This window comes from Homo sapiens, chromosome 12 (genome assembly GCF_000001405.40).
Source record: "Homo sapiens chromosome 12, GRCh38.p14 Primary Assembly".
In the NCBI taxonomy this organism is placed as follows: Eukaryota; Metazoa; Chordata; class Mammalia; order Primates; family Hominidae; genus Homo; species Homo sapiens.
In genome coordinates this window covers 12800228-12812353 of record NC_000012.12, presented here as the reverse complement: position 1 = coordinate 12812353, position 12126 = coordinate 12800228, and the positions used below count along the sequence as shown (strand labels likewise).

Sequence of the window (12126 nt, the reverse complement as noted above, 5' to 3'; positions counted from 1 at the left end):
TGTGGCCTGTCACTTGGGTCTCACACTGCGCAGGGTGCTCGTTGCAGTTTTATTCCTGAGGATGGGAAGTTGGGGGCAATCTGGTGTCCGTCACTGGGAAAATGCATAGTTAAAATGTGAACATGGTGTCTACAAACATGCCCTTAACAATATGATTAGATCTGAAAAACCTAGTGCTTAGTGAGAAAAGCATAAAATATATCAAGTATATTAAAATATAGGCCCACAGATATCACATTCTGCTAAAACACATCCAACAGAAGATACACTTGAAATATTTTAGAATGGTTGCCTGCAGAGGGAGAAGAATTAGAATAAAACTGGGAATTGGGAATAAAAGAATTAAGTGTATAAGACAATAGGCCGGCCGCGGTGGCTCACACCTGTATCTTAGCACTTTGGGAGGCCAAGGCAGATGGATCACTTGAAGTCAAGAGTTCGAGACCAGCCTGGTCAACATAGTGAAATCCAGTCTCTACTAAAAACACAAAAATTAGCCAGGCATGGTGGCCTGTGCCTGTAATCCCAGCTACTCGGGGGGCTGGGGCAGGAGAATTGCTTGAACCCCGGAGGCGGAGGTTGCAGTGAGCTGAGATCATGCCATTGCACTCCAGCCTGAGTGACAGCGCAAGACTCCGTCTCAAAAAAAAAAAAAAAAGGATAATAAATACACAAAGCAAGAGAGGAGACTTGTGATGCCAGTGTGCTTGACCTGAGAATTGTGAGGAACTCAACTCAATGTGCCTGCCGACCTCCCCACCACCACAACTAAAAAAGGGCCCTGATTTAGGCATCACAGCAGTGTCTCAACAACAAAAAGGGTAGGATGTGGTCAGAGAATTGGGCTCAGCTCAGACTCTGCAGGACCCTGTTGTAAAAGGTCTGGGGTTTTGGATGTTATCCTAAATGCAGAAGGAAGCCACTGGGGGTTTAGAGCAGGGAAGAGACATGATCTACACATTTAAAATATTACTCTAACTCTATATGGAGATAGGCTGTAGAAAGAGTGAGAAAAGGAGACCATCTAAGACAGCGGTCCCCAACCTTTTTGGCACTAAGGACTGGTTTCGTGGAAGACATTTTTTGCACAGAATTGGGGCGGGGATGGTTTCAGGATGATTCAAGCACATTACATTTATTGTGCAGTTTATTTCTATTATTATTACATTGTAATATATAATGAAATAATTGTACAACTTGCCATAATGTGGAATCAGTGATAGCCCTGAGCTTGTTCTCCTGCAACTAGATGGTTCCATGTGGGGGTAATGGGAGACAGTGACAGATCACCAGGCATTAGATTCTCATAAGAACCACGCAACCTAGATCCCTTGCAATAGGGATTGTGCTCCCAAGCGAATCTAATGCCGCAGCTGATTTACCAGGAGGCGGAGCTCAGGTAGTAATGCTTGCTCACCTGCTACTCACCTCCTGCTGTGCAACTCAGCTCCTAACGGGCCACGGACTGGCACCAGTCCATGGCCCAGAGGCTGGGGACCCCTGATCTATGTTGGGAAAAGGGCTTGTGGGGTGCCTGCATAAACGGGCCATAAAAATATGGGACAATAAGTTGTGGCAAGTCACAAAAGGCCTCTGAGGAGGAAAGCCTTCTTATCGCCATTATGTTCCCATGCTCTGAGCGCAACCTGCTCTCTTATCTATAAACACTGTGTTCAAGGAGAAAGACACTCCTTTGAAGCATTGAAATGTGGACAGACGTTCAGGCTCCTAGTTAAGCCCACTCCCACTAGCTACTCTTCGATAAGTTAAAGATATGCTGTTTGAGAACAAAGGAGACTCATTTAAACAGCCATTGCTATAGATTACGCCTATGACATACTGCCTCCCTTTCACTGTTTCACCCTAAACATCTGCTTCTTAGATCTAAGGGATTGTACTCAATAAATAGAGTGAAGACCAGAACTCTGGGCCTTTTGCAGCCTCCATTTTGCAATTGGCCCCCCGGCCCCCACTCTTTATGCACTCTTAACCTGTCTCTTCTCATTCCTTTGTTGCCACCGGACTTTGGGTACCCTACGGGTGGTGTTGAGGCTGGTCCCCAACAATCTAAGAGACAAGGGATGATCTTCATACCCCTGGCTCTAAGCACAGGCCCTGGCAAGAAGTGGATGCTCTGGAAATGCTGCCTGGCTGAAGTAAAACAGCAAAGCATTGGGATCAGGAACCATAGCAGACCAGAGAGGACTTCACTCTTTGTTTTTTAGGGAGTGAGGTTTTTCCATATTTAAGATTACATTCCTGGCCGGGCACAGTGGCTCACACCTATAATCCCAGCACTTTGGGATGCCAAGGCAGGTGGATCATTTGAGGTCAGGAGTTCAAGACCAGCCTAGCCAACATGGTGAAATCCTGTCTCTACTAAAAATACAAAAATTAGCCAGGCATAATTGCGGACACCTGTAATCCCAGCTACTTTGGAGGCTGAGGTAGGAGAATAGCTTGAACCTGGGAGGCAGAGGTTGCAGTGAGTCGAGGTCGTGCCACTGCACACCAGCCTGGGCAACAGAGTGAGACTCTGTCTAAAATATATATTTTTTAATTTTATATATATATGTATATATATATATATATACACATATATATGTAGTAAAAAAAGATTACACTGCTGCAGAATAGGCTGGGGACTTTGGTCTTTTTACATTAGTTCACTCCAAGTTACAGGAAAGGAGAGAAAATACACACTGCATAAGACAACAGGTCACCCTGAAATTGATTCTATTGGGCAGTCACAGGCATACAATTATGCTAGCCCAGTCTAAGGCATTCCATCTCTCTATTTAGCCCTCCTCATGGCTACCATCTCATTCTCCTATGACTTGGAATTGGGCCACTCTAGATGGTCTCCAAAGTCAATACATATGCTTTGGGATAAGGGGAAGTCAACTTCTCCCAAAGAGAATCTACCCAGCTAAATTGGGCTCTTCCTCTTCCTCTTCTCTGTTACATAGACCGGCTGGGGAGTTTGTATTCCTCTTTTGACAGAGGAGGAACTCTAGTCCCAGAGAGTAAAGAGACACAAGAGTAAAGAAAGAGTAAAGATCACAAGAGACAAGAATAGAAGCCAAGCCTCTTAGACTGGGGGCAATGGTTCACACCTGTAATGCCAGCAATCTGGAAGGCTGAGGTAGATGGATCACCTGAGGTCAGGAGTTCAAGACCAGCCTGGTCATCATGGTGAAACCCCGTCTCTACTAAAAATACAAAAATTAGCTGGGTGTGGTATTGTGAGCCTGTAATCCCAGCTACTCGGGAGGCTGAAGCAGGAGAATTGCTTGAACCTGGGAGGTGGAGGTCGCAGCAAGCCGAGATCATGCCACTGCACTCCAGCCTGGGCAACAGAGCAAGACTCCGTCTCAAAAAGAAAAAAAAAAAAAGCCAAGTCTCTTGAGACCAGACCAAAACTTTTACCAAAGAGAGCATCATCTTACATAATCGAAAGCAGCTTTCTTCTTCAAAAGCAGCCACACAGACTTTTCTGTAAAAACAAAGAGAGAAAGCAGCTGCAGTATTTATTTTGCTTCCCCTTGACTCATCCTGTGATTGCATTTAGGAGAGTGGAATGGGAAAGAAGAGCTGAGAGGAGAGGATCCTGATTGGGGAGCAAGGGGAAGCAGAGATAAAAAGCCTGAAAAGGGGACTCAGATGGAAACAACTGGAAGGTCTATAAATTTGCATATCATATACCTTCTAAAGTTACCTGAGTTTTGTTCGAATGCGTTACAGAAAAGAAAAGGAATCACCCATAAGATGTCTGGGGGTGCCTGCTGCTTTAAAGAGAACCGATTTAAGCCTTTCAACTGCAGTTGTAACATCAAACCCTGTTGATTTTAGCCAAGCAAGTCTTTTCTGTTTGTTCTTGGATAATTCAGACACAGGCTGTTTTTAAAACTTCCTCTGGTGTCAGTGTCCCCAGGGTATCGAGGGCCGTGAAGAGGATGTGGCATGCAGTGACAGCAGCGTCAGCGCTGCTCAGTTCTTTAGTCTGTTCCTGCCAGCAAAGTTTGGGCCTTGGAACAGCACCTACCCCAGTGACCAGATTCATGTCAGACTGACAGGATGACCATAGGTGGGTTCCAAAGAGGAAAGCCTGCAGTAGCCGAGATGATTGTCTGCTTTTGACTATTCCTATCAGGTTGAAGCAGTTTGGATATTTATACTCTGGGAATGGAAATAATAGAGGTCCATTCTAGTCACTGAGCCACGTCATATCCTGTACTTTCAGAACAATGAGAAAGGTTAAAGAGGAAATCTAAATAAACACTCTAAATGATGAGGGAGGAAAAGCAAGCCCGAAACAATATATGGGCTCCAGAAGGAGAGGTCGAAGGGCCTGACCCCATCTTACTCAAAGGTTTTCATGAGCCCCAGACTCCTTTGCCTTCATGCACCTCTTCTTCCACAAAAAAGTATTAAAAATTATATTTTACAACTGCATTAGTATACAGATAAATATATTAATGTTATGTATTAAAACTTGTTCTCCGAGTTAACAAATTTTTTTTTTTTTTTTAGTTTTTAGAAACAGGCTCTCTCTGTTGCCCAGGCTGGAGTACAGTGAGTTCTGATTGTGCCACTGCAACCTTGAACTCCTGGACTCAAGTGATCCTCCCACCTCGGCCTCCCAAAGCACTGGGATTACAGGTGTGAGCCACCTGGCCCCCCCTCCTTTTTTTTTTTTTTTGAGATGAGGTCTCACTCTGTTGCCCAGGCTGGAGGACAGTGGCATGATCTCAGCTCATTGCAACCTTTGCCTCCCAAGTAGCTGGGACTACAGGCACGTGCCACCATGCCCAGCTAATTTTTGTACTTTTAGTAGAGGTGGGATTTCACCATGTTGGCCAGGGTAGTCTCAAGCTCCTGATCTCAAGTGATCCACCTGCTTCAGTCTCCCAAAGTGCTGGGATTACAGGCATAAGCCACCGCGCCCTGCCCTGGCCTTCTTTTGATTTTGAAAGAAATGAAAACCTGTTTTTGGAGATATGTAAAAGCATTGTGGCTCTAGGCATTCTGTCTACGGCACCCCACAGATAAGGGAAGGGTGTGAGGAACGTGGAGGAAGCCTGCCCAGGCCAGGAACCCAGGACCACTGTGGAGGTGAGCAGGCTGGGATGTTGGTGGTTCCTGGTGCAAAAGTAAAGTGAGCCCCCAACTTAGGGACAAGAGTTCTGTGGAGGACTCAAACAAAAACTGGTTATCAGTTTCCACACGAAATGGCCGAGAAGTTGCATACCCAGAAGTCTATTTTGGAGGAAGCTAGCTCACTTATGACAAAGTGCCCTTTATTCAAGAAGGAGCCCATGCAAAATGTAATCAGTCAGGAAATTATCTTTAGACTTGTGAGTGGTAACTTGTTATGAATATGTATGTTCAGATGAAGAAAGGACATACACAGATGATGTAATAATGCAGGCAGAGAGAGAAGACAGCAGTCTACATAAAATCTAGAAAAGAGACAGTTCAAGTACAATTTACTTAGTTATCTAACCAATTCTCGTCGAGAGAGAAAAAATAACTAGTCCTTGTTATTTGTTGATTTCTTTTTCTTTTGGCTTTTAATTTGAAACATTTTCTTTTTTTTAATGTTTGTTTGCTTATTTGTTTGTTTGTGTTTTCGAGATGGAGTTTCGCTCTTGTTGCCCAGGCTGGAGTGCAGTAGCGAGATCTCGGCTAACTGCAACCTCAGCCTCCCAGATTCGAGCGATTCCCCTGCCTCAGCCTCCTAAGTAGCTGGGATTACAGGCACGTACCACCACGCCTGGCTAATTTTTGTATTTTTAGTACAGACGGGGTTTCACCATGTTGGCCAGGCTGGTCTCAAACTCCTGACCTCAGGTGATCTGCCCACCTCGGCCTCCCAAAGTGCTGGGATTACAGGCATGAGCCACCATGATCGCTCTTTCCTGTGACTTTTAAACTGAGACTTGAAAGTTGGGCAGCACTTACTAGCTGCGTGGGGTGTAGGGAGTGGTCTACAGATAGAAAGAATCTTCCAAGTTAAGCCCCTACAGTGGAAAAAATCAAATGATGGTTATAGAAATTATAAGGCAGCGATTTATGATAAAGCTGGAAGTACAGTTAGGGACCTGACTAGGACGTGATAGAGCAGGTTAAGGATCTGGGGATGTGGGACTTTATTCTAAGGACAATGAATAGCCGTGGAAGAAATTTCAGCATAGAAGCATTTGAAAAGATTCCTCACTCAGCCGCAGTGGAGAATGGTTTGGATAGTGGAGTGGGATGCAGGAAGATCAGCTAGCAGCTGTTTGAGCAAAAGATGATGGCGTTTTGGAGCAGAGAGGAGACGATGGGGTTGGAGAACAGTGGACACTTAAAGGGTGTATACAGGTTAGATAAATCCTCATGATTGATTTAACATGGAACGTGAAAGCCAGGAATGTGTCGGGGATTCCCAGATTTTTGGCTTCAGCAGGTAGCAAAGTGGCAGAACCATTCACACAGCTAGGAAACACTGGAGGAGGGGCAAATATGTGGAAGGTAAGAGGTCATGTTCAGAAGGTAGTGGCTGTAGTAGGAACCAGGACCTACACTCAGGAGTCCGGTCCAGAGCTCTCTCTTATCACCCTCCCATGCCATCCATCCCTAGTGTGGGCTTTGGGGGATTCTATTTTGTTTTTTGTTTGTTTGTTTGTTTGTTTTGAGATGGAGTCTAGCTCTGTCGCACAGCTGGAGTGCAGTGGCGTGATCTCGGCTCACTGCAACCTCGGTCTCCCGGGTTCAAGCAATTCTCCTGCCTCAGCCTCCCAAGTAGCTGGGATTACAGGCACCTGCCACCACGCCCAGCTAATTTTTGTATCTTTAGTAGAGACGGGGTTTCACTGTGTTGGCCAGACTGGTCTTGATCTCCTGACCTCGTGATCCGCCCACCTCAGCCTCCCAAAGTGCTGGGCCAAGTGTGAGCCACCATGCCCGGCCCTGGTTTGTTATTGTTTTTGTTTTTATCAAGACGAGGTCTCACTGGGTTGCCCAGGTTGGTCTCGAATCTATGAGCTCAAGTGATTCTCCCGCCTCAGCCTCCCAAAGTGCTAGGATTACAGGTGTGAGCCACCATGCCCGGCCCCAAGTCTGTTGATACTACATTGTCACTATGCTATCCCCAGTATGATAAGTGGAAATATCGGTGATAGGCTCGTAACATTTTCAATTAGCTTAAGCCAATTTGTTTTGTCTCCTGCATAGTCTATGCACTTCAAGGGGTGTCTCTTCTGTGGGTAGTTTGTTTTGAGACTCAACTTAGCCATATCTCCCAATCAACATGAAAACTTTAGCATGTGGATTTCTCCCCAACACTTTCTTTTCTCTCCATCTTCTTCATCTCACCTGTTTCTTTCCTGCAGGCTCCACATCAGCAAGTCTTATAGACTCCGCTGCCAAAATTCATCTGGAGTCCCACTACTTCTCTTCCTTTTCCATCACTACCATCATAGTTCAAAATGAATTTTACTGTTGTTTGATTTCCCACCCGACAGCAAGGGTTACCAGAACAGTGACTAGAACACGTCTGTGCTGTGCACTAATGCACTTCCCATTGCCTAGCATAGAATAGGAATTCAGAAAATACTTGCCCAGTGGGTGAGTGAGACTGGTTTGTAGATTAGTCACCTGTGAGTGTGCTTAGCATGAATAAATCCCCAGAGCCTATTTATTTACTAATCATAGGGGTCATAGGGAGTTTCTGAATCTGGGGAAAAAAAAAAAAAAAGAGAGAGAGAGAAACCGACCTAGGAGTGTGGTAATTTAATAAAGCTGTGGCCACTTCCACGGTGGACACCAGCCCGTAGGCAGTGGTTAGGAGCAGCACAGAGGGGCTGGGGTTGGAGGGTGGCAGAAAAGCCAACTTTCCTACCAAACCTGCCGTTTGACCCCTTGAGCTCCTAGACCCACTAGGAATAACAGATTTTTATGTCTAGTGCTCCCAAAAAAATCTGGTGTCTCAGACTGAGAACTAAACTGAAGAGGACAAATGATGTTCCATAATGCAAATAAAATTTATAAGGAACGAGTTTAACCTACAGTCAACAATAAGCAGGAAATTCAAATGCTATGTTACAATCTTACGTAGAAAGCCACGGAGGCTAGGGTTTCAAGGTCAGTTCATGCTATGGGCCAGGTAGTAAAGGAAAGGGCAGCTTTGAGTCATTTCCTGGTTTCCTTGTATTCCCTTCATACAAGTGAGGTTTTTTTTAATGTATACACAATTTTTTTTTGAGACAGTCTCACTTTGTCACCCAGGCTGGAGTGCAGTGGTGCGATCTCAGCTCACTGCAACCTCCACCTCCCGGGCTCAAGAGATTCTCGTGCCTCAGCCTCCTGAGTAGCTGGAATTACAGGCGCGCACTAATTTTTTTTGTATTTTTAGTAGAGACAGGGTTTCTCCACGTTGGCCAGGCTGGTCTCAAACTCCTGGCCTCAAGTGATTTGCCTGCCTCAGCCTCGCAAAGTGCTAGGATTACAGGCATGAGCCATCATACCCAGCCTTAAATGTATACACAATTAAAAAAAAATTACTAGAAATGGAGGTATTTATAAAGTTCCTTGGCAATCCTGATACCATGGCCACAGTGAAATAATGAGTATAATACACAGCAGCTTCCAGCTACACTCAAAATAGAAGCATGTGAATTTCATATAGTAAGTTTGAAATCTAAATGTTTAAAATAAATAAAACGTTAACTGCTATCCTGGACATTTCTCATGCTTGATGATAACCCAACATCTTTTAATTATCTTTTCCAATGATTGGCAAATTTCTCCCATTCTAAGTTCACCTCCTTGAAGGAGAAACCAGAAACTCACTCTCCACCCTCCCTTGCACCTGGGTCCCAGACACATGACTTGGCCTCTGCCAAACAGACACACCCACACCAGAGCTTAGTTCAGACATGAGTCATGCAAGGAAGTAGACACAGGCATTGGCAGAGGTGTCCTGCTTAAGGGGCAATAGCACAAAGGCTGTGATGTCCAGTGCCCGTGCCAGGCGTGCAGTATGAGATGCCCTAGCCTAGCAACAGCAGCAGTGGGGTTTCTGCTGGAGTGGTGATCTCACAACAGGCTGCAGGTGTTGTTCCTGGCTGCATTGCCCTTGAGCCTGACTTTTGCTTTCTTGGAGATTCTGTGAGCTTCCTAACAGACTTTAATAAAGTCCTTCTCTGCTTAACTAGAAGAGGTTCTGCTGTTTGCATCTAAGAACGCTAACAGCTTCTAAAGGAAAAAAAAACTATACTTCTCTGATCTATTTTTTATTTTTTTTGAGATGGAGCCTCACTCTGTGGCCCAGCCTGGAGTGCAGTGGCACAATCTCAGCTCACTGCAACCTCCGCCGCCTGGGTTCAAGCAATTCTCCTTTCTCAGCCTCCTGAGTAGCTGGAATTACAGGTGTGCACCACCACACCCAGCTAATCTTTGTATTTTTAGTAGAGACGGGGTTTCCCCATGTTGGCCAAGCTGGTCTCAAACTCCTGACCTCAGGTGATCCACCCGTCTCAGCTTCCCAAAGTGCTGGAATTATAGGCGTGAGCCACCATGGCCCAGCCTGATCTTTTTTTTTTTTTTTTTTTTTGAGATGAGGTCTCACTATGTTGCCCAGGTTTATCTCAAACTCTTGGGCTTAATTGATCTTCCCACCTCAGCCTCCCGATCACACGTTATGAAAACCTACTCACCAAACTGTCCCTCTGTGGTAGCCTTTCCTTCGTGCTGCCTGGTAAGCCTGTGCGTTTCCTTACTGCATCTTTCTCCCACTTTCCCAAACAACTCTGCTCAGCCTTCCAGTGCACCCTCTCCCGTTGTCACTCTCAGCCTATGGCCTTGCTTCCTATTTCAGTGAAAAAATAAAAAAAACTTCCACAAGTTTCCACTGCCCGTCTTATCACCTATCTGCCTTCCCTCTTGTTCTTGAAGATGTCCTGTCAGTGCCTCTGCCAAATGCAGCCAACCCTCCACATGAGCACCTGGGCTAAATCTCACCCCTTCTTACTTTATCAAGGACATTCCTCTAAAGTCTCTATGTTCTCTCCTGACCCATGAATGTTTCTCTCTCCACTGGATGATTCCCACGGCATCTATACATGCTATTATTTCTTCCTATCTTAAAAAATATTTCTGATGGGGCCGGGCATGGTGGCTCATGCCGGTAATCCCAGCACTTTGGGAGGCCGAGGCGGGCGGATCACAAGGTCAAGAGATCGAGACCATCCTGGACAACATGGTGAAACGCCGTCTCTACTAAAAATACAAAAATTAGCTGGGCATGGTGTCGTGAGCCTGTAGTACCAGCTACTCAGGAGGCTGAGGCAGGGGAATTGCTTGACCTGGGAGGCAGAGGTTGCAGTGAGCCGAGATCACGCCATTGCACTCCAGCCTGGCGACAGAGGGAGACTTCTTCTCAAAAAAAAAAAAAAAAAAAAAAAAAAAATTCTGATGACGCCACATCTCCCTAGAGCTATTGCCCACTTCTCTGTTTCCTTGACAGCCAACTCTTTGTATGAGTTGTCTATGTAGGCTGCCTCCAATTCCTGTCTCTTGAATCCACTTGAGTAAGGCTTTTGCCCATACTATTTCCATGGAAACTTTCCTTTAAGACCCCCATGTGCTAAATCCAATGGTCAATTCTCATTCTTCATCTTACTTGATTCCTTAGCAGCATCCAACTGCCCCTTCCTTAAAAAATCCTTTTGACTTGGGTTTCTTTCTTTCTTTCTTTTTTTGAGACGGAGTCTCACTCTGTCACTAGGCTGGAGTGCAGTGGCACAATCCTGGCTCACTGCAACCTCCACCTCCTGGGTTCAAGCAATTCTCCTGCCTCAGCTTCTCGAGTAGCTGGGACTACAGGCATGTACCATCATGCCCAGATAACTTTTGCATTTTTAGTAGAGATGGGGTTTCACCATCCAGGCTGGTCTCGATCTCTCTCTCTCTCTCTCTTTTTTTTTTTTTTTTTTTTTGAGATGGAGTCTCACTCTGTCACCTAGGCTAGAGTGCAGTGGCGCAATCTTGACACATTGCAACCTCCGTCTCCTGGGTTCAAGCAATTCTCTGTCTTGGCCTCCCGAGTAGCTGGGATTACAGGCACACGCCACCACTCCCGGCTAATTTTTGTATTTTTAATAGAGATGGGGTTTCGCTATCTTGGCCGGTCTGCTCTTGAACTCCTGACCTTGTGATCCGCCTGCCTTGGCCTCCCAAGGTCTCAATCTCTTGACCTAGTGATCCACCCGCCTCGGCCTCCCAAAGTGCTAGAATTACAGGCATGAGCCACCGCGCCCAGCCGACGTGGGTTTCAATACACTGGAGACTCCTGGTTTTTCTCCTGTCTTGCTGGCCACTCCTTCTCAGTCTTCCTAGCTAGTACTTCCTCATTCCCACCCACTCCCCACCCTAAATGTCAGAGTACCCAGGGCTGAATCCTCGGACCTATTCTCTATATTCCCTACTTTCACTCATCTCTTAGTGGCCACATCCAGTCTCATGATTTTTAATACCACCTACTTGCTCAGGATTCTCCAATTGATATCTCCCTTCTAAGTCCTTCCTTGGGTTCCAGACTCATATATTCAGCTGCCTACAGGTATATGTCAGGAATCTCAAACTTAATACCTCTAAAACTCAACTCCTGACTCCACTCCTCCCCAGCGTGTTTCTCCCACAGTCTTCCCCACATCAGGAAATAGCCATGTCATCCTTCTAAATTACTCAAGCCAGGACTCCTCTCTTACACCTCCCACACCCAATCTGTCAACAAGTCCTGCAGGTCTACTTTCATCATACATCTGGAATCTGACTACTTTTCTCCACTCTCAGCTACCAACATTTCTGACCTGGGTCATGGCAGTAGCCTCCTAACTAGTCTTCTTGCCTTGATTCTTACCTCTCAACAGTCAATTCTCAACATAGCAGAAAGGGGTCCTTTGAAAACATAAGTCAGCTGGGCGTGGTGGCTCACGCCTATAATCCTAGCATTTTGGGAGGCTGAGGCAAGTGGATCACTTGAGGCCAGGAGTTGAGGCCAAGAGTTGGGGCCAGGACTTCAAGACCAGCCTGGCCAACATGGCAAAACTCCATCTCTACTAAAAATACAAAAAATGGCTG

General features: G+C 45.7%; 2 annotated features.

Annotated features, from left to right (window-relative positions):
* Positions 7226-8425: an enhancer, noted in NCBI's record as "P300/CBP strongly-dependent group 1 enhancer chr12:12956863-12958062 (GRCh37/hg19 assembly coordinates)". NCBI's record gives its function as "activates an origin of replication core promoter dependent on BRD2, BRD4, P300/CBP, MED14 and CDK7 cofactors, with strong dependence on P300/CBP, by STARR-seq in HCT116 cells {active_cell/tissue: HCT116}" and the evidence as "EXISTENCE:reporter gene assay evidence [ECO:0000049][PMID:35650434]".
* Positions 8956-9456: an enhancer, noted in NCBI's record as "H3K4me1 hESC enhancer chr12:12955832-12956332 (GRCh37/hg19 assembly coordinates)". NCBI's record gives its function as "activates a minimal SCP1, AML or CMV promoter by ChIP-STARR-seq in primed H9 embryonic stem cells {active_cell/tissue: H9 hESC(primed)}" and the evidence as "EXISTENCE:reporter gene assay evidence [ECO:0000049][PMID:30033119]".